Source organism: Homo sapiens, chromosome 4, assembly GCF_000001405.40.
Source record: "Homo sapiens chromosome 4, GRCh38.p14 Primary Assembly".
In the NCBI taxonomy this organism is placed as follows: Eukaryota; Metazoa; Chordata; class Mammalia; order Primates; family Hominidae; genus Homo; species Homo sapiens.
In genome coordinates this window covers 15,603,579-15,631,018 of record NC_000004.12, presented here as the reverse complement: position 1 = coordinate 15,631,018, position 27,440 = coordinate 15,603,579, and the positions used below count along the sequence as shown (strand labels likewise).

The 27,440-nt window shown below is 36.9% G+C and overlaps 1 protein-coding gene across 21 annotated transcripts in view; it reads left to right on the top strand.

The window, feature by feature from the left end:
• Positions 1 to 26,638, top strand: part of FBXL5 (F-box and leucine rich repeat protein 5) — a 77,189-nt gene extending 50,551 nt beyond the window's left edge. For all 21 annotated transcript variants that reach the window (NR_036464.2, XM_047450056.1, XM_047450055.1 and 18 more), the window contains 6 exons: positions 228 to 353; positions 2,986 to 3,134; positions 4,064 to 4,146; positions 5,042 to 5,767; positions 18,605 to 18,753; positions 25,220 to 26,638. Coding sequence is in view for 20 of the 21 variants with exons in the window: in XM_047450056.1 (XP_047306012.1) it covers positions 228 to 353; positions 2,986 to 3,134; positions 4,064 to 4,146; positions 5,042 to 5,767; positions 18,605 to 18,753; positions 25,220 to 25,296 (1,310 nt within the window). In the remaining variant the exon portion in view is untranslated. The remainder of the gene's footprint in view (positions 1 to 227; positions 354 to 2,985; positions 3,135 to 4,063; positions 4,147 to 5,041; positions 5,768 to 18,604; positions 18,754 to 25,219) is intronic.

The following is a 27,440-nucleotide window of genomic DNA, read 5'->3' as shown; positions in this document are numbered from 1 at the left end:
GATGGGTGCAGCAAACCAACATGGCACATATATACCTATGTAACAAACTTGCACGTTGTGCACATGTACCGTAGAACTTAAAAGTATTAAAAAAAAACAGTTGCTTATTGCCTAGGGCTCAGATGTTTTCTCTTTGTAGAGATTTTTATCGTAAATAGCTTAGTTTTTCATAATTGCAGGCAATCTGATATTATTTTGAACCTTTTACTTGTTTATTCATTGAGTAGGTGACTGGTATAGTGGTCCCGCAACTGAACTTGATACTGAACCTGATGATGAATGGGTGAAAAATAGGAAAGATGAAAGTCGTGCTTTTCATGAGTGGGATGAAGATGCTGACATTGATGAATCTGGTAAGCTTGTTTGGAATTAAAATTATTACATAGTGTTTTAATAATTGATAATTAAGTACTTATAATTATTAGGTATTAGATTTATGTATTTTGTGTTTTCTAAAGAAACTGGTGTTTCTAAGCCTACTACTTTTTAAAATTTGAAGGAATAATAATGAAATTTTAAATTAATTGAAGTACTTTAAAGAGTGCATAGGATTATTTCTCGTTTTTATATTAAAATCAAAAATCAGAAAATGGTACCTTTTTTCTTATGAAAATAATGTACGTTTATTATAGTGCTTTGTAGTTTACAATGTGATTTTAGCACCACTTCAAGTGATCAGTTGCACAGCATCTATTGAGTCATCTATGGCTTGAGGGAAATAGGATGAAACTGTTGAGTCGACTTACTCGTTTGTAGATAGTCTTAATACTTGCCTAATAAGGTTATTGTAGAATTAAGAAGTAATATACATAAATATTGTTTGTAAATGGTAAGGGATTACAAAAACTAATGTAGCCATTCATTAAACACTGTGGGAGAGTTCAAGGATGGATAAGACTTCATCGCTACTCCAAACAACTCACAAATGAGAGAGAATTTAGAAAACATAATTTTTAATTTAAAGTATATGATGGAAAAATGCTGTCATACTTGTGCAGAGAGATGCTATTTGGAAGTGTGAGGAGGAAAACAAATTCTGTCTTGGATATTCTAGATAATAATTATTAAAAGATGGTAAAATAGTAAAAAATGAACAGATGAGACATTCTTCTAGTTGGTAAAACTGAAACTATAGGAAATTTTATTTATAAAGTTACTTGCTTAAAGTAATTTGGTCTGGCGAAAGAATTAAATGTGGAAAAAAGACACGTGGAAAGTAACAGTGTAAGTATAAAGATTGTTGTATCAGCAGCTAAAGTAGTTTATTTTTATGAAACGCAGATGTGCCACATTTTGATGTAAAGATTCAAAATGTCCTATATAAGGAAAAGGTCTATTCTAGTTTGATAGATTTGGTGATGTGCTTACCTGTGGCAGGCATTGTTTTAGGTATGAAGGATCTAATGGTGAACAAAATGGAAAAAAGCAAAACAAAACTGGCGCTTGTTGAGCTTAAAATTTAGAGACAGGAGGCAAACAATAAATACAGGTAAAATATATTCCATATTAGATGGTGACAAGTGTTGTAGAGAAAAATAAGACAAGGAAAACATGCCAAGAAGAATTTAAAATTGCAGTTTTAAATTGAGCGATTAGTTAAGGTCCTTTGGGAAATTTGAGTAAAGACCTGAAGGAGATGAGATATTTGCTCAGATGTCAACTTAAGGAAGTCTCAGTTTATTCATTCTAGAAAATTAATTCATAATACCCGTGGTAAGAATGTTGAAGGTTCTCACAAATTCAGTGTATTTGTCTCCATACTTGAAGATAGCCAGAGGAAAGACTCAATTTCCTTCATATTGAAAAGGAAAAGTTAACGCTGTAAAGATTGAGCCTTTTTAGATAATATATCTGTTGATTATTAAAGACTAAACTGTCATTTACTTCAGTGCTTTTTTCGGTTTGGCTGCCTTGTCTTTTTACTTGTCCTAAGAAGTTATTGTTTTTCATAGAATGTTTAACTTTCTTAAAGATTTCACAGTTCCAGTTACCTTGATTTAATCATCACACATTGTATACAGGTTCCATAGTATCACATGTACCCCCAAAATATGCATAATTATTGTATATCAATAAAAAATTAAAAATTTAAAATTTTCACAGTAAATAGTATACATTTAGATAGTGAGGGCCACAGAAACAAAAGAATGGTTTGGGAATAAAATTATAGTAGGGCTCACTAAAGTAATTTTTATCTCCTTATATTTTATCTTCGTGTGTGTGTGTGTGCGTGTGTGTGTGTGTGTCTGTGTCTGGCTAAAGGAGGAATTTAGGATAATATCTAAACAAGGAACCATGAGTAACAAATTCTTTTAGTTGATATCCTTTTGTCTGCTATACTTAGTTTTGTTTTAAATGAGACTTCCTTAACTTATTCTGTTAAATCATTTTATGTTTAAAGACATTCAAATTGGTCTTTAGGTAAGAATAATAACAATAGGATCCTGAGAAAGGTAATACAATACAATTATTCATTCTTTTTAGTGTAGTGTGTTTTTTCCTTTTTTCGAATTGGAGTTTATGGTGTTTTCATGGTGGATGTTACAGTAGTACATTCTGTTGTAAACATCCAAGCTTTACAGAAGTTATTAAGTAAAACCAAAAGCCATGCTCATTTTTAGCTTCTTAGAAATTCTAAAGTACCTTCCTTTGCTTGATTCATTATGATCAGGCTAATTTAGTTGAGTTTCAAATCTTTTCTAGCTTTGTGCCCTTTTTAGTTATGTGGAATCAGTGATAGTACGTTTTACTATGGATCATTTTTCTTTTGATATCATATTTTCTTTTCTCTTGAAAACTTTTGCTGTTCTTTTCAGTTTTCACATTTTTTTCCAAAACCTTTTCATTGCCTAAAAATGGGATGGTTTACATAAGAAAGTATAAGGATAGCACAAAGTATGTCATATTTAACAATTTGGTGAGCGCTTGAGTAGCTTAATTATTATCAGTTTATCAAGTTCTTGGACTTTTGAATTCATTTTACAGAAGAGTCTGCGGAGGAATCAATTGCTATCAGCATTGCACAAATGGAAAAACGTTTACTCCATGGCTTAATTCATAACGTTCTACCATATGTTGGTACTTCTGTAAAAACCTTAGTATTAGCATACAGCTCTGCAGTTTCCAGCAAAATGGTATGTTTAAATTAACACTAGTTTGGGTATTAAGAAAAACAGCATGATAAGAGTTTGGTTTGCTCATTCCTGAGTTTAATTAAGGGGAAACAAACCCAAAAATGATTATTGAGTGCCTTCCTATGGGTAGGCATACACTGCTAGGTTACTTATTATTTCATTGCAGTTCTCACAACAATCTTTGTAGCATAATTATCATTACCTATATGTTACAGATGAGGAAACTGACTAGAAGAGGTTAAACATTTTATTCAGTTTCACAGATGTTAAGTGATAAAGCCCAGTTTTATGTGATTTTTTAAATAATATGTAAGGCATGGTAAGATGGGCAAATGAGATGAAATCACTGTTTTATAAAAGTGGATATTACGACTTCCTACATCAGAATCTTGAGTGTTCCTTAAAAATGTAAAAATCCTGGTTTAGTCTCATAACTGCTAAAACAGATACTTGGGCGGGTGCGGTGGCTCATGCCTGTAATCCCAGCACTTTGGGAGACCGAGGTGGGTGGATCATGAGGTCAGGAGTTCAAGACCAGCCTGGCCAATATGGTGAAACCCCATCTCTACTAAAAATGCAAAAATTAGCCAGATGTAGTGGCGTGTGCCTGTAGTCTCAGCTACTCAGGAGGCTGAGGCAGAAGAATCGCTTGAACCCGGAAGGCGGAGGTTGCAGTGAGCCAAGATACTGCCACTGCCCTCCAGCCTGGGTGACAGAGCGAGACTCTGTCTCAAAAAAAAAAAAAAAAAAAAAGAGATTCTCAGGGATTTGAGCCCAGAATATTTTATTATACTTTTTTCAAGTATTCAAGTGATTTTTTTTTATATTCACAAAAGTTTGTGAACTAGATTATGTTTACTAATAGTCATCTGTTACTTAGCTAACTGAAGTTCTGCAGATCTTTACAGTGACAATTTCTTGCCTTTTAGGTTAGGCAGATTTTAGAGCTTTGTCCTAACCTGGAGCATCTGGATCTTACCCAGACTGACATTTCAGATTCTGCATTTGACAGGTTAGTTATTTTAAACAATTTAAATATAATGAAAAACTATTTTATAAGGTTTCATTTATGTAATTGCAGTTTAATCATACTATTATTTTTTACTATCAAATCTCAGTCATGTCTGAGTATAATTTGATAGCACCCTCCAGTTCTTCACTTCTTACTCATAGGTCCCAGCTGATCCAAAAATCCCATCTGTATTATCTTGCAATCTCTGTAGTCCTATATTTTGTCTAGGCCCTTGAGCCCTGCTGTGCAACCATGTAGATTGGTATTATATGTTTTTAAGAAGTTTTAGTTTTAGTTGGGCTCTAAGTGCCATTTGGCAAAGCTCCCTCTTAGATTCTTCACAGTTACTCTGAAATAGTATAGTGTAACTTTCTTCAAGCCACCTTCTTCCCAGAGTATATCTCCTTGACCACCAATTCTCTGTATTATTGCTCACTCCCTCTTTCCCACCCAACTATTTATATCAGCACCTTTTTTCCTGCTGCAGAGGAAGAGGTATACTCTTCTCGGGCTAAAGCTAATGCTCCATCTTCCTAGAGCTTGTTTCTTATGGATCTTCCTCATTAACCGTCGGTTATTCTCTTTCTTTCATGTGTTTGCAGCCTTACTTCTGCTGACTACTTTTAGGATAATAAACTTAAGTCTTCCAATCCTTACGCCTCTCAAATCCTACCCTTCTGTTAGGTTAGGAATACTTTGACTTCCTTATTACTCTCATTGAGTTTTTGTATCCCTAGCATCAAGAATAGTACCTTAACAATAGATAATTCACTAAATACTTAAGTGATTATATTAGATGTCAAATCTTTCTTCTGGTTTTCATCTACATGCATATAGTCAAATGCTTTTGAAAAATTTAACAATATTCATTAATAGTCTTGTCTTTTAATTATAGTTGGTCTTGGCTTGGTTGCTGCCAGAGTCTTCGGCATCTTGATCTGTCTGGTTGTGAGAAAATCACAGATGTGGCCCTAGAGAAGATTTCCAGAGCTCTTGGAATTCTGACATCTCATCAAAGTGGCTTTTTGAAAACATCTACAAGCAAAATTACTTCAACTGCGTGGAAAAATAAAGACATTACCATGCAGTCCACCAAGCAGTATGCCTGTTTGCACGATTTAACTAACAAGGGCATTGGAGAAGAAATAGATAATGAACACCCCTGGACTAAGCCTGTTTCTTCTGAGAATTTCACTTCTCCTTATGTGTGGATGTTAGATGCTGAAGATTTGGCTGATATTGAAGATACTGTGGAATGGAGACATAGAAATGTTGAAAGTCTTTGTGTAATGGAAACAGCATCCAACTTTAGTTGTTCCACCTCTGGTTGTTTTAGTAAGGACATTGTTGGACTAAGGACTAGTGTCTGTTGGCAGCAGCATTGTGCTTCTCCAGCCTTTGCGTATTGTGGTCACTCATTTTGTTGTACAGGAACAGCTTTAAGAACTATGTCATCACTCCCAGAATCTTCTGCAATGTGTAGAAAAGCAGCAAGGACTAGATTGCCTAGGGGAAAAGACTTAATTTACTTTGGGAGTGAAAAATCTGATCAAGAGACTGGACGTGTACTTCTGTTTCTCAGTTTATCTGGATGTTATCAGATCACAGACCATGGTCTCAGGTGAGTTATCAGTTCCAGAATATTAAGAAATAGACGTGTTCTCATTTCCAAATGGAATATAAAAATTTTGATCTAAGTCATTCTTTTCAGTTGATTTACTTAGCAAAAAGGATTAACCAAGATCTGCCCTACTTCAGAGTTTTGGAGCAGTGTAACTTCTGTTATCAGTATGAAGTTTCATTTCTGTCAGTTCAAATCCATTGTGATGTATGGAAGAACATAAATTCTAAAGTTTAATAAATACTTAGTAAATGGCTACATCACATATTTTAAGGTACTTTAGTGGATGAAGAAGGTACAATTTTTACTCTCAAGAACATGTAACAAGAAAATATGCATATTCTGTTGCTGTGTATTATTTCTGTATGTTATAGTTTTATACTGAGGGTTTTGGAAAACGTAGGCTGTCCCTGGAAGTCATTTAGTCTGACTACACGGCTGTTAAGTGTTTACAAAAGCCAAAGCTGAGCTAGAGTTTCATATGTAGCTAGAGTTTAGAAATTTTGGTCTTTGATCATGATCAGCTTACCTTCTGTTGCTTTTTTAAGTCATAAAGAGAACATGTGGAAGAAGTTCTACATTTTCTTTTCTGTTTTTTTTTTTAATAAGCATAATCTTCAGCAGATTAAACCGACTTTTTTTTTTTTTTTTAACCTCCTAGAGGAAAGAAGGGCTGAAGGTGACACATGTGTCAGCCCAGACAGGTAGCTCTTTTCAGCAGCTAGGTTCTATATGTTTTATAGGACCCACCTCAAGATTTGTTAGGTTACGAGTATGCACTGTTGGAGAAAATACCATGGTGCACTGACTTGGGAGCATGGCAGACTTGATGTAGATTGATTTTGCTTTTTTCTGTATGACTGGCTTTGTGCAAAATACTTAACCTTATACTTTGAGGCTTATGTAAGAGGAATATATATAAGGCATCTAACAATGATACACAATAGATTTTCAATAAGTGGAAACTGATGTGCAGTAATCGATTATCTTTGACATGAGCCTTTGGAAATTGGATACATGCTTTTCTTTGATAATGGGATGTCAGATATTTTATAATGAAGAATTCTTCCAGCATAAAACTTAATACTCCCTACCATTAGAAAAGATACTTAATATGAAATTATTACAGGCCGGGTGCGGTGGCTCACGTCTGTAATCCCAGCACTTTGGGAGGCCAAGGCTGGTGGATCACGAGGTCAGGAGATTGAGACCGTCCTGGCTAACATGGTGAAACCCCATCTCTACTAAAAATAAAAAAAAAATTAGCCGGGCACGGTGGCGGGCACCTGTAGTCCCAGCTACTCTGGAGGCTGAGGCAGGAGAATGGTGTGAACCCGGGAGACGGAGCTTGCAGTGAGCCGAGATCATGCTGCTGCACTCCAACCTGGGCGACAGAGCGAAATTCCGTCTCAAAAAAAAAAAAAACTATTGTAAAATTTTTTCATAAGTCATATACAGTAACCAAAAGTGTTTTCCCCGAGGTAACTGGTATAACTGTGGTTTGGCTGCTGTGAATCATTTCATTAATTTTCTGTTTTCTCAAATCCAAGGGCATATGTTATAGTTTAAGAACATAAGCAAAGATAACTTTATTCTGAGTTTTATTCTTTAAAAAATTTTTATTACATGTCTGTATTCCTAACTGTAATATGATTTTGTTTTTGAATGCAACTTGATTTTAGAAAGTAAAAGCAATTTTTAGTTCAATTTAAAACCTCGTAATTCATTTTTCATTGTCATTTTTTTATTACTGTCATACCTTATTGAAATTTATTTATAGCTCTATTCAGTTTGCATTTTCAGTATGACCAGTTTTTGTGTTTTTTTCAAAGAATGAAGTAATACATGTGACCTTTCAGAGCCGCAATGACTTCTGACCATGTGGCAGTTTCCTTATCTTTTAGTTTTTTAGGATGTTTTAAAAAACCCAGAACTTACTAAAATTTTATATAATTAAAAATTGATTTCAAGGGCAGTCAAAATTTTGATGAATCAAAATTTTGTTTTTTTTGCTTTCAAAGTATTTAGAAACTCTTCTAGTATAAGGTTTTGGAAAACACTAGAAGGGAGCACACTTTATTTAAAAGCAGAATTGTAACGTTTTGTTTGAATACCAAAGAGTTTCCCTCCCCACTTCCTGAAAAGGCAGAGAGTTAATTTCTTAAGAGAAATTTGAAGAAAAGCAGAGAAAAGGTTTTTAGTTGTTATTTTAGGGTATGATTTTTGGCACTTCATTAACAAATTCTGATATTATCAACCTTAGAACAAAGTGGATAATTTACTGCTGTTGGGATTGGAAATAAGTTGCACTTATTCTTTAGGGTTTTCCTGAGTAGTAGTGAAGAGCTTGCATGTGAGGTATTCTTGAAAAGAAAGTTTGCGTTTGAATTGAAGGAAAAATTCATTTTGGGAACAAGGGAACACGTAGGATCTGTCTTATCTGTGGCTAATTGAAAAAGTCTTGTCTGAGTGCAGATTCCCTCATTTTAATTAAACCTTATCTTGAAGGATTCTTTCTAAACATTTAAATTTTCATTGAGCACCTACTACATTTCTTGCACTGTTCTAATTGCTAGAGGTCTAGAGTAACTAAGACAATTCTCTGCCTTCATGCAGTTTGTAATCTAATGGTAGAAATAGACAGAAAACATAGTATCAGACTGAATGTTCTGAAGAAAAGTAAAGTATGGGTACTTTACTTAAGAATACAGAGAATGCCACTTCATATTGAATGAACCAGGAAAGGCTTCTTTGAAAAGAAACAGGCATCATTTGAGTAGAGAGAGAGATAAAATTAGGGCATTCTGTGTACATTTCCTGAGAGACTGAGGAAATAGAAAATAAAAATTTAATTTTTAGAAGCAACTCTTTTTGCATTCATTGTATCGGTTTAAAAAGTGTTTCAGTCAACCAGTTACAGTAAGTACAACTTGTGTCAGTAGGTTTGAGGAAAAAATACAACTCATGTAAACATACAACTTAATTTATAGGAATAGAAATGTTCAGGTATACCAGTTGGGAGCATTCAGTGTATCCTGCTTTAGTCATTATGTTTATTCAGGATGAGTAGCATGAGTTTTGACAAGTTGGTAATGTGGAGCTTGTTAAAAGAGCATTGAGGCTGGGTGTGATGGCTTACACCTGTAATCCCAGCACTTTGGGAGGCCAACGCAGTAGGATCACTTGAGCCCAGGAGTTCAAGACCAGCCCGGGCAACATGGCAAAATTACATCTTTACCGAAAAGAAAAACAAAAATCAGTTAGGCATGGTGGCATGCACCTGTAGTTCCAGCTACTCAGGAAGCTGAGGTGGGAGGATGACTTGAGCCCTGGAGGTAGAGGTTGCAGTGAGCTGAGATGGCACTATTGCACTCCAGCCAGGGTAACAAAGCCAGACCCTGTCTCAAAAGAAGGAGCATTGACTGGAGAATGTTAAATTGATAAGGTTTTAGTTAGTTTGAAACCATAGGGAACAGATAGGGCCATTTGTGGTCTTAATACATTATTTTCTGGCTTTCATAGGAATGAAAATAAATCTTGGCTGTTAATTAAAAATAGCCTCTTATCTAAATTTTTAACTTTCTTTGGGCCCCTCATATAAGTGGAATCATACAATACTTGTCCTTTTGTATCTAGCTTATTTCACTTAGTGTGTTTCAAGGTTTATTCACATCGTAGCATGTATCAGAACGTCATTCCTTTTTATATACCACATTATGTTTATCCATCTGTTGATGAACACTGAGGTTGTTTCCACCTTTTGGCTATTGTGAATAATGCTGCTATGAATGTTGGCATATAAATATTTACTTGAATTCTTGTTTCCATTTCTTGTTTAATTCAGTGTACAAGTCCTTGGTTAAATTTATTCTTAAATATTACACATTTTGATGCTATTGTAAATACAATTTTATTTCTTAAACTTTTCAAATTGTTCATTGCTAGTATATAGAAGTATAACTGAGTTTTGCATGTTGATTTTGTATCCTACTATTCAGCTAAATTTATTAGTTCTAACATTTTTTTTGTGAATTCATTAGGGTTTTCTACATATAAGGTCGTGCCATCTACAGACAGATAATTTAATTTCTGATTTTCCAAAATAGACTGCCGAGACCAGCTCGGTCGGGGAGACCCTAACCCAGTGGCGCTAGAGGAATTAAAGACACACACACAGAAATATAGAGGTGTGAAGTGGGAAATCAGGGGTCTCACAGCCTTCAGAGCTGAGAGTCCTGAACAGACATTTACCAAAGTATTTATTAACAGCAAGCCAGTCATTAGCATTGTTTCTATAGATACTAGATTAACTAAAAGTATCCCTTATGGAAAACGAAGGGATGGGCCAACTTAAAGAAATAGATTGGGCTAGTTAACTGCAGCAGGAACATGCCCTTAAGGCATAAATCGCTCATGCAATTGTTTGTGGCTTAAGAATACCTTTAAGTGGTTTTCCGCCCTGGGCGGGCCAGGTGTTCTTTGCCCTCATTCCCGTAAACCCCCGACCTTCCAGCTTGGGCGTTATGGCCATCATGAACATGTCACAGTGCTGCAGAGATTTTGTTTATGGCCAGTTTTGGGGCCAGTTTATGGCCAGATTTTGGGGGGCTTGCTCCCAACAATAGACCTTTTATTTTTCTTGTCTAATTATTCTGACTAGAATTTCCAGCATTATGTTAAACAGAAGTGGCAACACTGTTTTGATTATTGTAGTTTTGTTGTAGGTTTTGAAATCAAGAGGTGTGAGTTTTCCAACTTTGTTTTTCCTTTTCAAGGTTATTTAGTATCTGGGGTTCCTTGAGATTCCATCAGAATTTTAGGGTCGGTTTTTTCTATTTCTGCAAAGAATGCCATTGAGATTTTGATAGGGATTGCATTAAATGTGTAGATCCCTTTGGGTAAAATTGACAACAGTATTAAGTCTTTTAACCCATGAATGTGGGATATCTTTCCATTTGTTTAGATCTTTTTTAATTTCTTTCAGTAGTCTTTTGTAGTTTTTGGTATCCAAGTCCTTTACCTCTATGGTTAATTTCTTAATATTTTATTTTCTTTGATGCTATTCTAAATGGGATTTTTTAAAATTTATTTTTCAGATTGTTAATTGTTGATGTATAGAAATGCAACTGAGTGTTGTGTGTGTCGACTCTTTATCTTTCTGAATTTTCTTTTTGTTCTTTTTTGAGACAGGGTCTTGCTCTGTTGTCCAAGCTGGAGTGCAGTGACATGATCATAGCTCGCTGCAGCCTTAGACTCCTAAGCTCAGGTGATCCTCTTGCCTCAGCCACCCTAGTAGCTGGGACTATTGGCATGTGTACTTGGCCTGCTGAGTTTATGTAGTTCTAACAGGTTTTAGGGTTTTCTGTATAGAAGATCTTATCATCTGTAAATAGAGATAATTTTACTTACTCCTTTTACTTTTTTGGGAGGGTGGGGGGAACTGGGTCTTACTTGTTGCTGAGGCTCAACTCAAACTCCCGAGCTCAAAGGATCCTCCCACCTAAGCCTGCTGACTAGCTGGGATTACAGGCATGTGCCACCTTGACATTCCTTTTCAATTTGGATGTCATTTATTTCTTTTTCTTGTCTAATTGCTCTGGCTAAAACTTCTAGTACTGTGATAATTAGAGGTGATAATAGTGTACATTTTTACCTTGTTCTAATCTTAAGGGAAAAGCTTGTATCTTTCACCACTGAATATGATGTTAGCTGTGAGTTTTTCATGTATATGGCCTTTATCAAGTTGAAGAAGTTCCTGTCTATTTCTAGTTTAAAGAATATTGGGTTTTGTCACGTTTTTTTCTCAATCAGTTGAGATGATCATTTTTTTCCTTTATTAATGTGTGATTTGTTGGTTGATTTTCATATACTGAAAGTTGATAAAAACCCACTTGGTCAGGGTGTGTAGTCCTTTTAATATGCTACTGAACTCAGTTTACTGGTATTAGCTGAGGAATTTTGCATCTGTATTCATAAGGGACATTGGCCTGTAATTTTCTTGTTGTGTTTTTGGCTTTGATAATACTGGTTTCATAGAATGAATTTTATATTTGTCCTTCTTGTACGTGTTTGGGAAGAGGTTTTTTTTTGAGACAGGGTCTCACTCTGTCACCCAGTTGGGAATGCAGTGGTGCTATTATGGCTCACTGCAGCCTCAATTTCCTAGTGATCCTCTTACCTCAGCACCCCCCTGCCCCACCACTACAAGTAGCTGGGACCACAGGCGTGTGCTACCATGCCCAGGTAATTTTTGTATTTTTGGTAGTGATGGGGTTTCACCATGTTGCTTAGGCTGGTCTCAAACTCCTGGGCTCAAGCACTCCCAAAGTGCTGGGATTACAGGCATGAGCCACCACACCCAGCCCTCTTTTGGCAGAGCTTGAGAAAGGTTGATGTTAATTCTTCTTTTTTTTAGAGACGGAGTCTTGCTCTGTCGTCCAGAGTGCAATGGCACAATCTTGGCTCAACTGTAACCTCCGCCTCCTGGGCTCTAGCGATTTTCCTGTCTCACCCTCCCAAGTAGCTGGGATTACAGGCACGTGCCACCACGCCCAGCTAATTTTTGTATTTTTAGTGGAGACGGGGTTTCACCATGTTGGCTAGGCTGGTCTTGAACTCCTGACCTTTAGGTGATCCACCTGCCTTGGCCTCCCAAAGTGCTGGAATTGCAGGCGTGAGCCACTGCGCCCAGCCAATGTTAATTCTTTTTTAAATGTTTAGTAAAATTTATCAGTGAAACTATTTTGTTTTGGTCTCTTTGTTGAGAGGGTTTTGATTCATCTTCTTATAAGTCAATTCAGATTTTCTGTTTCTTCTTGATCAGTTTGGGTATTTCTTGAGTTTCTGGATTATGAGAGTATGATCTTTTAATTATTTTCATCATTATTATATTTAGTCTCATTGTGTTGCCCAGGCTGCCTTCAGACTCCTAGGTATAAGCAATCCTCCCACCTCAGCCTCTTAAAGTGTAGTTGGGAATACAGGCATGCACCACCATGCTGGCTTCTTATGATCTTTATTTCTATAAAATTAGTGGTAATATCCTCTGTTTCATTTCTGACTTTGGTAATTTGTGTCTTCTCTTTTTTTCTTAATCTAGCTAAAGCTTTGCCAATTTTATTGAAATTCTCAGAGAACAAACTTCTGGTTTTGTTTTTCTTCATTAGTTTTGTATTTGTCGTTTAAAAAATTTTTGCTCTCATCTTTATTGTTTCCCCTCCTGCTACTTTGGATTTAGTCCATGTTTCCTTTTTCTAATTCCTTTTTTTTCTTTTAACTTCCAACTTTTAAGTTCAGGGTATCTGTGTGAGATGTGCAGGTTTGTTACGTAGGTAAACGTGTGCCATGGTGGTTTGCTGCACAGAGCATCCCATCACTCACGTATTAATCCCAGCATTTACTAGCTATTCTTCCTGATCCTCTCCTTACTCCCACCCACCGCCATTTGACAGGCTCCAGTATGTGTTGTTTCCTTCCATGTGTACATGTGTTCTGATCGTTTAGCTGCCACTTATAAGTGAGAACATGCGGTATTTGGTTTTCTGTTCCTGTGTTAGTTTGCTAAGGATGGTTTACCAGTTTGCTAGTTTGTTAGTTCCAGCTCCACCCATGTCCCTGGAAAGTACATGATCTTGTTCCTTTTTATGGCTGCATAGTATTTCATGGTGTATATGTACCACGTTTTCTTTCTTTTTTTTTTTTTTTTTGAGACATGGAGTCTCACTCTGTTGGGCTGGAGTACAGTGGTGCGATCTTGGCTCACTGCAACCTCCACCTCACAGGTTCAGGTGATTCTCCTGTCTTAGCCTCCAGAGTAGCTGGGACTACAGGCTCATGCCGCCATACCTGGTTAATTTTTTTTTTTGTATTTTTAGTAGAGATGGAGTTTCACCGTGTTGCCCAGTCTGGTCCAGAACTCCTGAGCTCAGGCAGTCCACCTGCCTCGGCCTCCCGAAGTGCTGGGATTACAGGCATGAGCCACTGTGCCCGGCCTTGTACCACATTTTCTTTATCCATTCTATGACTTATGGGTATTTAGGTTGAGTCCATGTCTTTGCTATTGTGAATAGTGCTGAAATAAAAATAGGCATGCATATGTCTTTATAATAGAATGATTTATAGTCCTTTGGTTATATACCTAGTAATGGGATTGCTGGGTTGAATTGCTGCTTCTTGGTCTTTGAGAAATTGCTATACTGTCCTCCACAATGGTTGAACTAATTTACACTCCCAACAGTGTAAAAACATTGCTTTTTCTCCACAACCTCGCCAGCATCTGTTGTTTTTTTGACTTTTTAACAATAGCCATCTTGGGAAAGAGGCAGCTTGCCACTGCAGGCTCTGTGAGACAGCTGAAAAACTGAGTGCCCAAAGTGTGACAGGGAAATGTCTGCCTCTGAACACAACATCCTCACTGGGGAACCTGAAGGTCTAGATAACGGGAGAAGGATTTGAGCTTACCTGGAGCTGAGATGAATTTAGAGAGCCGGGCAAAATACAGGGGTAGAGGAAGCAGTGGGGAGATCCCTGTGGGCATTCTTGGTCCCCAGGGAAGTCATTTCTGACTTTTTCTTGCAGAGGTCCTTGGGGAGGGCTGTCACTGGAATTGGGGAAAGACCATAGGGAGAAGGAAACGTCCAGCTGAACTTTGTTGTAACAGTTTCAATTGAATGGGATGTTTCCTGGACAGAATCTGAGGGAAGGGATGAAAGGGGAGTTCAGATACGAGCACAGAAGCCATGGCAGATGGGCAGGCATGAAACTTGAAAGCCCTGCTTGCTTTCTCAGTGGGGAGGCTTGTAGTCTGGGCAAGATCTTAGCCCTGCTCACCAGTTGCCTGGTTGAGGGGGCATGGTGCTGTTGGGGGTGAGACCTGCCTTTTGGGCTGTGTGGGAACTGGGTGAGGCCTGTCACTGCCAGCTTTCCCCCACTTCCCGGGTGACCTGTATGACAGAGCAGAGGCAGCCATAATGTGTCCGGAATTGGTGGGTTCTTGGTCTCACTGACTTCAAGAATGAAGCCGCGGACCCTCGCGGTGAGTGTTACAGCTCTTAAGGTGGCGCGTCTGGAGTCTGTCCCTCCTGATGTTCAGATGTGTTCGGAGTTTCTTGCATCTGGTGGGTTTGTGGTCTCGCTGGCTCAGGAGTGAAGCTGCAGACCTTCGCGGTGAGTGTTACAGCTCTTAAGGCAGCGCGTCTGGAGTTGTTCATTCCTCCCGGTGGCCTCGTGGTCTCGCTGGGCTCAGGAGTGAAGCTGCAGATCTTCGCGGTGAGTGTTACAGCTCATAAAAGCAGCGTGGACCCAAAGAATGAGCAGTAGCAAGATTTATTGCAAAGAGCGAAAGAACAAAGCTTCCACAGTGTGGAAGGGGACCTGAGCGGGTTGCCAATGCTGGCTTGGGCAGCCTGCTTTTTATTCTCTTATCTGGCCCCACCCACATCCTGCTGATTGGTAGAGCCAAGTGGCCTTTTTTGTCAGGGCGCTGATTGGTGCGTTTACAATCCCTGAGCTAGATACAAAGGTTCTCCACGTCCCCATCAGGTTAGTTAGATACAGAGTTTCGTCACACAGGTTCTCCAAGGCCCCACCAGAGCAGCTAGATACAGAGTGTCGATTGGTGCATTCACAAACCTTGAGCTAAACACAGGGTGCTGATTGGTGTGTTTACAAACCTTGAGCTAGATACAGAGTGCCGATTGGTGTATTTACAATCCCTGAGCTAGACATAAAGGTTCTCCAAGGCCCCACCAGAGCAGCTAGATACAGAGTGTCGACTGGTGCACTCACAAACCTTGAGCTAAACACAGGGTGCTGATTGGTGTGTTTACAATCCCTGAGCTAGACATAAAGACTCTCCACGTCCCCACCAGACTCAGGAGCCCAGCTGGCTTCACCCAGTGGATCCCACACCGGGGTTGCATGTGGAGCTGCCTGCCAGTCCCGCGCCGTGTGCTTGCACTCCTCAGCCCTTGGGTGGTTGATGGGACTGGGTGCCGTGGAGCAGGGGGTAGTGCTCGTTGGGGAGGCTGGGGCGGCACAGGAGCCCATGGAGTGGGTGGGAGGCTCAGGCATGGCAGGCTGCAGGTCCCGAGCCCTGCCCCGCAGGAAGGCAGCTAAGGCTCGGTGAGAAATCGAGCGCGGTGCCGGTGGGCTGGCACTGCTGGGGGACCCAGTACACCCTCCGCAGCCACTGGCCCGGGTGCTAAGTCCCTCATTGCCCAGGGCCGGCAGGGCTGGCCGGCTGCTCTGAGTGCGGGGCCCGCCAAGCCCACGCCCACCCGGAACTCCAGCTGGCCCGCAAGCGCCGCACGCAGCCCCGGTTCCCACTTGCGCCTGTCCCTCTACACCTCCCTGCAAGCTGAGGGAGTGGGCTCTAGCCTTGGCCAGCCCAGAAAGGGGCTCCCACAGTGCAGTGGTGGGCTGAAGGGCTCCTCAAATGCCGCCAAAGTGGGGGCCCAGGCAGAGGAGGTGCTGAGAGCAAGCGAGGGCTGTGAGGACTGCCAGCGTGCTGTCACCTCTCAATAATACCTGTGGGAACATAACTCCACCCATACCCCTGGGAATATAACTCCACTGGCCTGGGAACCATACCTTAATCCCCCACAGCAGCCGCAGCAAGCCCTGCCCAAGGACAGTCTGAGCTCAGACATGAATAACCCTGCCCTCACCTAATGGTCTTTACCCACCCTGGTAGCCAAAGACCAAGGACATAATCTCTTGGGAGCTCTATGGCCCTGCCCACTGCCTGAGAAACCTGAATACTTACCCAGGTGACCCCAGGGCAAACTTGTACCCTCCCTATACTACTGCAGCTGATGCTTTCTTGAAAGTGGCACCTCCTGGCTGGAGGCCAACCAGCACACTAAAGAAAACCACAAACAAGGACCCTCACAGAGTCCACTTCACTCCCCTCCTATCTCCACTGGAGCAGGTGCTGGTACCCATGGCTGAGAGACCTGAAGACAGATCCCATCACAGGACTCATCACAGACATTGCCCAGTACCAGCCTGGAGTCCAGTAGCTCTGCTGGGTGGCTAGACCCAGAAAAGAACAATTACAGCAGTTTGGCTCTCAGGAAGCCCCATCCCTAGGGGAAGTGGGGAGAGCATCACATCAAGGGAACATGCTTGTGGGACAAGAGAATCTGAATAACAGCCCTTGAGCTAGATCTTCCCTCTGACATAGTCTACCCCAATGAGAAGGAACCAGAAAAACAATTCTGGTTATATGACAAAACAAGGTTGTTTAACACTCCCAAAGGAACACACTAGCTCACCAGCAGTGGATCCAAATGAAGAAGAAATCTCTCAATTGCCGGAAAGAGGAAATCAGAAGGTCAATTACTAAGCTACTGGAAGAGGCACCAGAGAAAGGTGAATAGAAACTTAAAGAAATAAAAAAAAAAACAAAAGTTATAAGATATGGATGGGAAAATCCCCAGAGAAATTTATAGCATAAATAAAAAACAATCTCAGCTTCTGGAAATGAAGGACACACTTAGAGAAATGCAAAATACACTGGAAAGTCTTGACAATAGAATTGAACAAACAAAAGAAAGAACTTCAGAGCTTGAAGACAAGGCTTTCAAATTAACCCAACCCAACAAAGAAAAAAGAATAAAAAATAAAATAAAATGAACAAAGCTTCCAAGAAGTTTGAGATTATGTTAAATGACCAAATCTAAGAATAATTGGTGTTCCCAAGGAAGAAGAGAATTCTAAAAGTTTGGAAAACATATTATTTGAGGGAATAATCAAGGAAAACTTCTCTGGCCTTCCTAGAGATTTAAACATCCAAATACAAGGAGCCACCTTTTAATTTTATCCTATTTATGTAAATACTGCTTTTATTCTTCTAGGGTGTGCCATTAGGTTTTATTTTTTATTGAAATGTAATTAACATACCATAAAATTTACTGCTTTTTAAAAGTATACGATTAATTCAGTGATTTTTAGTATATTTACAGGGTTGTTCAACCATCCACCACAGACTAATTCAAAACATTTTCATCATCCCAAAAAGAACCCCATACTTATTAGCAGTCACTTCTCACTCCCCCTTTCCCCAGCCTCTGATAACCATGAATCGACTTGGTGTCTCTGTGGATTTACCTCTTCTGGAATGATAATATTAATGGAATCATTCAATATGTGGCCTTTAGTATCTGGCTTTTTAAAATTAGGTTTATGTGTTCAAGGTTTATGCATGTTATACTATGTGTCAGTACTTTGTGGCTGCAGAATATTTAATTGTATGGATGTACCACATTTTATTTATCCATTTATTAGTTAATGGACATTTGAGTTGTTTCTACTTTCTAACTGTTATGAATAATGCTACTATGAACATTCATGTGCAAGTTTTTGTGTAAACATGGTTTTAATTCTCTTGGGTATATACCTGGGACAGGAATTGCTGGATCATATGCTAGGTGTATCTATAATTTTTTTTTTAGAAACTGCCCAACTGCTTATTAGGTTTTAAGCTTCAGTAATTTTCTTGATAATTTTTACTTACTAATACAGTTGGGTAGGAGAATGAACATTACAACTCCAGGGTTCAGTACTTCCTCTAAGAATTGAGTTACCATGATGTTCTTATAAAGAACAGTTTTATAGATTTCTTTATTGAATGTTGTTAGGAAAAATGTTGAACATTTTCTGAGTTAAATGTATTTCTGCCTAAGGATGAGGTTAGTTATCAGTGTTTTACAGAAATTCTTAAATTTTCTCATTACCATATTGAAAAGTATGTAAAATAGTGGTTCAGTGAACCATAGGAATACAAACATTTTTATAGATTAGTATCTTCTAATTGTCAAATTATTTTTCTTACAGGGTTTTGACTCTGGGAGGAGGGCTGCCTTATTTGGAGCACCTTAATCTCTCTGGTTGTCTTACTATAACTGGTGCAGGCCTGCAGGATTTGGTTTCAGCATGTCCTTCTCTGAATGATGAATACTTTTACTACTGTGACAACATTAACGGTAATGCCTTTTAACAGTGCGATAATTTTGAAGGAATTAATTTAAAATTTTTTTTAGCAGTTCTAATAATTTTTCCATTTAGTTTTCTAGATTTCTAATTCCCAGACTATCTTACTTTCAGATTTAGTTAAATTTGATAAAATTTTAAAATTACATTTTCATTAATTAACATCTTGAAAGGTAAGTTTTTCTTGCAGATGTATATTCTAAATATCCATTGTGTCAGATTTTTGAGGGATGTAATAGTGTAATCAAAAATGGTAAGTTAATAGAAATACTAAAATTCTTGTTAAAAGTTTTAGGTATTCCTCTAGAGTTTTGTAGCACTCATTAAGAATTTAGAACTATTTATGTTCTAGATACACTGATTTCTTAGGGATAATAGAGTCTTATTTCTTGTAAGACAGCTTTATCAAATGTAGAAAAATGAGGACTTTGGTAATGTGGACTTCCAGAGTTTCTGGATCTGATGACAACTCTTAGCAAAGATTGAGGGGAGAGGACAGTATGTAGTATTGAGAAGAGTCTGAGATGCTTTAGACATGACTAGAATTCCTGTAGTATTTTGGAAATTGATTCCTGAACCTACTTTCAAAAATCACAAGAAATACTTCTTGATTTTGTTCTTTTAAACATATTCTACCCTACAGTGGTCTTATTGAACATGCTTTTTCAAAGTATGTTCAGTGCCTTTTTGCACATTTGATAGTCACTGGTAGAGACTGAATTTCCCAGAAGCATAAAAAGCTGCTCTTCTGTTATTAGTAAGCAAATCAACCTCCTGTATTTATAACTGGAGAAAATTTTAGATGGCTCAGACTACTATGTACCTGTCTTTTTATACTGCGCCCTATTGTCTTTGAGTGCCCAGTTCACCTTAAGATGACAGGAAAATCAACAAAATTTTTCTCAGGCAGAACAATTGACAGGAGTCAGGAAGACCAGAGGGAGTAATGACATACCGCAAAATGGAGAAAACTGCTATTTCTCGAGATTAGGTTTTCCTTAAAATATATAAGAGGAAACTGGAGATGGTAGCTCTCTTATTTCAGGAATCACATTGTTATGCAGGAGATGACCTCCCATGTTCTTGATATATCAGCACTAAGTTGGACATTTCTTTGTTTTCTGTTGCCTTCTGTGTATAATCAAGGAATGGCCAAAGTGAATGTCATCATAGTTGGTGAAAGTGAATGTCATCGTAGTTGGTGAAAGTGAATGTCATTGTAGTTGCAACATGCTAAGCCTATGAAAACAAAGTTTGATTGATGCAGTGAAGCTGTTACTTTTGTGGATGCTGTGGATTTGAGAACGGAGTTTTGTTAACATAAAGTTATTTTATTGTAGGTTTAGTGCTATACTTCCACTTCCTAAGGCTTATAGGACATATTATCAAGAGTAATTAATAAGCAATTGTTTTTTATCAGAAAAAATTTTATTTGTATGTTGCATTTGAATTTTTCATATTGATTTCAGCATAGGTTATGCTTTGGAATAAATCTCACTATTGAATTCATTATATTTATTTTTGGATTCATAGATGTTATTGGGTAGAGGGAGGGGACTGGGTTTCAGTTTGTTTTTATGCTTACTTGTTTTATGTTTGTATGTTTTTAAACTTTGAAATAATTTAGATGATGGGATAAAATGAAATAATTAAAATCTTTTGCACTTTGTCCTTATGCATTTCCTCTAAACTTGTTTTGAATATATAGTTTCAGAGGAGCTATTATATTCCTTTTGTTGAATGTAAAAGTTTTTTTGGATAAATGATTGATTTTTTAAAATAAATGAATTGTGATGAAGATATCTGACTTTGAAAGATTTGAAAGGAAATTTCAGTGCTTGTATAATCCAATATTAACTCTCCTTTTATAGCTTATTGAAGCATGATTTGGGGGAATGGAAAGCCTTTAAAATTTACAGGGTGACTTGTTAAATAACTTGTGTCTGAGTTCCACATAGGTTGTTCTTAAAGCAATGCTCTCTCATAGTCTTTTCCTTAAAAGGATATGTGGACAACCTAGAAAGTGTTAGAAAGAAGTTGTGTTGTATCCAGTTTTGCAAGATGACACTTGTTCCAGTATCTTTCAAAACAGCTCAGCTTGTACAGTAGATATCTAGTGAATGCTCAGGGGCATCCTTGTTACTATTTTTATTATTTCTGAAAGTAGTGTGTTTTAATACGTGGTATTAGAGCAATGGAGAAGTGTATTTAGGTGACAAATTATATTTCAAATATTTGAAAGTGACGTTTAGCTAAAAATATATTTTTTAAAAGAAAACATATATAGTTAACTATCAGGTTACTAAATGTAAAAGAAGTTAATACTGATAAACATTAGTCATTAAGTAATACATGATAAGTAAAGCAGAATGATCTATTTTCCAAGCATTAGCAGAGATTTTGGAGATAATAAGTTAGTTATCATATATTCAAACAGTGCCCAGTACAGTGCAAGACACTGTACATAAAGTGTCTTGATATAAAATGCAAGTCTAGATTCTTCTGAATGATTCTTTATGACTTTTAAATTTATTTGATAAGATTTGAAAAGTCTTCTTAGCCATAACATTAAAAAATTTCTTTAACATTTAAGAAGTGTTAAATGGAATAGCATAGTTGTAGAGCTGTGAAGAACATTTGAGCAATGATAGCAAATAAACTTTTTTACTGATTTGCATTTCAATGTATGTATAATTTATAAATTAAGATAGATTAGCTCATAGTTTTGGAGGTGACACAGTCTCAGATGATGTGCTCTTTTATGTTTCTAATTTAAGTTAAAGAGGAATTAAAGGTAAGTGAAGGTAAGTGCAGATATACAGCATAAGTAATATACTTAGAACTCAGTAAAAACAAGTTATTCAATAATAAAAGTCTGGAGAAATAATAGCTAACCTTATACTTCCTATCATCTGATACTTAAAAATGCTTTCTTATAAGATTATTCTTTACCACGCATTTAAATATTTTAATGATTATTCAATTATATTTTTCTATTTTCTTTATTATTCCTTAATGTAATTTAGGCTTTATATATCTTAACCATTTGGGTTCTGTGTCCTACATCGAGATGGAAGTTTGCTGGTGATAAGTCAAATATTTAAAGGGAACTACCTTGTGAATTATCTTCGTCTGTTAAAGCATAGCTGTCTACCTGGCAATCCATCATATCTTAGTCATATTTCTTTCTAGTTTTCCCTCACCTTTTCTGTTGTCCATTTATTCTGTTGTCCATTTATTCACTTCTCTGAACAGTCCTTCTGTGTTACTTAAGGATTTTATTGTTAATGTTGCTTATACTTTCCATGCTTTGGAAGGTGTTAGTCTCCTGTTTTCTACAATGTGATACTGAGTTTAAAACAGTGCTTGTCTTCATTTTTGTTTTGGCTCAGGCCTTCAGCAGATCCTTTAATGGGTGCTGTCACTTTCATGATTATTGGGATCAAATACCAGTAACTACTCTTATTATTTACCTTATCATAGGATTGTAGTTTTGAGTCATTTAATACTATAGTTACTGATTAAGTTCATATAGCCTTCTTTAAACAGATTCTGCTTTCAAATTTGAAAACAATATATTCTCTCTCTTCACTCTGTATACTTAGAATCTCACTGAAACTCAATTCTGGTGAACTTAAAATGTATTCAGAGTTCTTGCCTATATTCATATAAAATGTGTCTACTCACTGAGTAGACACATTTTATATGAATATAGGCAGGAACTTTGTTTTGTGATAAATAAGGAGATGCTGACAGTAGGTTTGTGCTTTTTACCTAATACAGGGTAAAAACTTTTATTTCTACATTTTTCTTCCCCCATTATCTCTGCCACCATCCCTTAGACTTCAGGAGCATAATGACCCAGGTAGCTAGGGTGGAAACTGAGCATGTGGACCCTACATCTTTTGGGGAGGGTGGTGAAAAACTGTGTCATGTCAGGTTAGATCTGAATCTCTAGGAGAATAGCTTTTTTGATCTGTTTGCTCCTTTGAGTCTCCCTTTTACTTTATCCTTTGAAAACCAATTGCATACTTCACTTCCATTGCTTCCAGATATGGCATATTTTTCTTAGGCTACTGTTGAAATTTAGCATAATATTTCTCCCTTACCTTTCTGTCCTTTTAAAAAAATAGGACTATAGTAAGTCCTCCGTGTCGGTGGTATGTTTTTGGAAACTGACTTTAAAGAAAACATACAGGAAGTCCTCAAATAGTGTCATTTCATTATAATGATGCAAACAAAACAACTACCTTTGTTATACGTTATTTTGCTTAGAGTCGCAGTTTCTAAGAACCTATCGATGTTAAGTGAGGACTTAATGGTATAGACATTTTGAAATATTTGAGGGAGTTGCAGTTTGGAAAAATTGTATAGAGTCTTCATGTCTCTTCTTATTTCTTTAAAAAAATTTAGAATGGAATTTTAATCTGATAAAATGATAATCAGATCCATTTTGGCAAAACCCAGTGAATCTGGCATTTCATGATGGACCTAAGGGTCAGAGCAGGAGAATGGCAGTGAGGCAGGGCTTGTGTCTTGAGGAGAGGCACTAGGTGATTGGTAGACAAAACAGTGGGCAGTGTAAGGGGTGAGGAAAGACAAGCTAAGAAGGGGAATAATGGGGATTGGGTGGTGCACAGTGGGTAAAGCTGGCATTATATTCAAAGGAAAAACTTGGTTAAAGATTGGCAGTGGGAGAAGAATTTCAGATCATAGGGTTGCTTCTCAGGGCATTTTTAATAAGTATTCAATATATACTAAAACATTTTATCTTGAGTTTGTGATTAAGATGATTAACATTGTTTCTTATTTTAAGGGAAAATAATTTTAACAAAATGCTGCTTTGTGAATTTTAAATATTTAACATATTTAACTTCTCATTTAAAGACCAGAAAAGATTGTTATTTTGATTAAATAAAAATTGGCTTTAGTAATTCAACTTTATATTTAAAATAATTTTAAACTTCCTGTTATGGAAAAATTTAACATCGAATAATACAACGAATCCTCATGTACCATCAGCTTCAGCAGTTATAAACCTGTGGGCAGTCTCCTTTCATCTATACCATTGCTCATTCCCATATCTACTCCGCCATTAAGCTAATCACAGGTGTCATATCAACTTAAAAATTAATATGACTGAAAGCATAAGCTGTTGTAGTTCCACATATTTGCGTAATGTTTATTAGTTTCTTTCCTAAGACTGTATGTCTTAAGAAATTTGCCCTTTGTATTTTGTATGTGCCATTTGGGGAATATAAGGAAAAGTTAAATTTCTGGAAATTAATGTGTTCTATGTGTTTAGTTGGAAGTAATTGTTATGGTAGTATTAGCTTACTTGCTTTTTTGTTGTTGTTGTTGCAGCCGAGTGCTGTTTTAGAAAATAAAAAGTAAATTTAAAATGTGTTTTTGAGTTAAGCTAGATATCACCCCAGAGTACTGTGATTTTTCAGTTACAATCCATTTGATATATTCTGCAGTAAAATTATATTTCATGTACAGTTTTCATTTTGTATTGTTCCTTATATCACAATTGCAAGTATTTTGGTTGTTCTTGTTGATATGTAAAGAACAAATTAACTACTCCTTATTTGTTCATGGTATAGACATAATGAAAGACTTCAATATAGTTGAAACAATCTTTTCCACATTTGCCTGCTTTTATGAAAATATCATTCATTCAGAGTACTTGACATTTGAATATGTGCTGTGAAACTTCTTCTTTGATATTTTCTAATTCTCAGCTATGTTCCCTAATGGGTCTTGTATCTAGTGCCTGGGTAGCATAGTGTGACTGGGATAAAATGTCAGTTATTCCACAGATTTTTTTTTATTCTTTGTAAGTGAATGATAATTTTTACTATGGCTACAGTTTAATTGATCACTCATTATATATTTAATTTTGGAAAATAATTTCATCTAACCCTACCATATATAGATATTTTTGGCTACAAATACTAAATAAAAATATGGCAAATATATTAAATCTTTGTCTATATAGTTTATTTTGCTTTAAAATTTGAAGATAATATTTATTGTAATTGCTCAATACTGACTTCTTTAGCTGATCGATTATAGTTAGGGCTGTTTTTTGCCTTTATTACATTTCTAGGGAGGATGTTCAGATTATAAGAATCTTTTTATAAGTTAGCTTGGCAATCTTGCTTCTGTGGATTGTCTCATTTCCATTTTGGATTTTTATATTGTAAGTTGTTGCTAAAAATTATTTTTTTCCCTTCTTCCACTTACCTTTTGGACCATGAAGGATATATTAATTAAAGTCAAGCTGCTATTGAGTTTTGTGTCTGAATAATTTCTTATACACTTATCATGAGATTTACTTCTATCATATAAGTACTGCTAGTAAAACCAATGAATGTTTAACTCCTTCATAAGCAAAATTATTTTTATGTGATCTCTAAGAAATTCCTCCTTTCACATTTTTCTGTTTTCATACAGGTCCTCATGCTGATACCGCCAGTGGATGCCAGAATTTGCAGTGTGGTTTTCGAGCCTGCTGCCGCTCTGGCGAATGACCCTTGACTTCTGATCTTTGTCTACTTCATTTAGCTGAGCAGGCTTTCTTTCATGCACTTTACTCATAGCACATTTCTTGTGTTAACCATCCCTTTTTGAGCGTGACTTGTTTTGGCCCCATTTCTTACAACTTCAGAAATCTTAATTTACCAGTGAATTGTAATGTTGTTTCTCTTGCAAATTATACTTTTGGTTTAGAAAGGGATTAGGTCTTTTCAAAAGGGTGAGAACAGTCTTACATTTTTCTTTTAAATGAAATGCTTTAAAGAATGTTGGTAATGCCATGTCATTTAAAGTATTTCATAGATAATTTTGAGTTTTAAAGTCCATGGAGGTGATTGGTTCTCTTTACACATTAACACTGTACCAAGCTTTGCAGATCTTTTCCGACACACATGTCTGAAGACTTATTTTCAAAGACAGCACATTTTTGGAAACTAATCTCTTTTCCGTAATATTTCCTTTATTTCAATGATTCTCAGAAGGCCAATTCAAACAAACCCACATTTAAGGTTCTTTAGGATTATAGAATAAATTGGCTTCTGAGTGTTAGCTCAGTGAGCTAGGAAAGCACCAATCGATATTTGTTTCCTTTAGGGATACTTTGTTCTCACCACTGTCCCTATGTCATCAAATTTGGGAGAGATTTTTTAAAATACCACAATCATTTGAAGAAATGTATAAATAAAATCTACTTTGAGGACTTTACCAAGTAATACTGTTGTGTTGTGATTTTTATTATAAATCTCAATCCAGGTTTACTTTAGTATAGAATAGGACTACATACTTTGTCTTTGGACCTCCCATGAACTTATTACCCTGACAAATAGTTTTAGACAGATACTGAATTTTATTGAGCTGAATTTTCTTTTTGAAATGAGTTATTCAGTAGTCAAAATTTGAATCCGTAAGTATATCTACTTTGCTTTGTTAAAACATCATGAGAGTGGAGGCCTGCCACCCAGAAAGGCACATACTAGTGCCTTTTAGTACAATTTTATGTCATGTAGAAGAAAATGGCAATGTTCCTCCTATTGATACAGATACAGGCATATGTCATCTTATTGCGTTTTGCTTTATTGCACTTTGCAAATAATGCATTTTTTACAAATGGAAGGTTTATGGCAACTCTGCGTTGAGCCAGTCTATTGGTGCCATGTTTCCAATAAAACTTCTCCTTTCATGTCTCGTATATTGTGATAATTCTTGGAGTATTTCATAGTTTTTCACTATTATTAAATCTGTTGTGGTGATCTGTGGCCAGTGATTGTTGTTACTATTGTAATTGCTTTGGAATGCCATGAACTGTGCCCTAATAAGACAGAGAACTTAATTGATAAATATTATGTATGTTCTGATTGCTCCACTGACCAGTGGTTCCTGTCTCTCTCCTCCTCAGACCTCCCTCTTCCTAGAGACACAACAATATTGAAATTAGGCCCCAGCTTATAACCTTGCAGTGGACTTTAAGTGTTGAAGTGAAAGGAAGAGTCATGTCTCTCACTTTAAGTGAAAAGCTAGAAATGATTAGGCTTAGTGAGCAAGGCATGTCGAAAACTTAGGCCCAAATCTACGCTTCTTGTGCCATACAGCAAAGTTGTGAATGCAACAGGAAAGTTCTTGAAGGAAATTAAAAGTGCTACTCCAGTGAACACCCAATGATAAGAAAGTGAAACAGCTTTATTACTGATATGGAGAAAGTTTTAGTGGTCTGGATAAATGAAACTAGCCATAAAATTCCCTTAAGCCAAAGCCTAATTCAGAGTAAGACCCTAACTCTCTTCAATTACATGAAGGCTGAGAGAAGTGAGGAAGCTTCAGAAAAGGTTGAAGCTAGCAGGGGTTGATTCATGAGGTTTAAGGAAAGAAACCTTCTCTATAACATAAAAATAGAAGGTGAGGTAGCAAGTGCTAATATAGAAGCTGCAGCAAGTTATTCAGAAGATCTAGCTAAGGTCATTGATTTGAAAGTGGCTACATTAAATATCAGATTTTCAGTGTGTAGACAAAACAGCCTTCTATTGGAAGAAGATGCCATCTAAATCTTTAATAGCTAGAGAGGAGAAATCAATGCCTGGCTTAAAAGGGCAGGCGGACTCTTAATGTTAGAGATTGATGCAGCTAGTGACTATGTTGAAGAGAA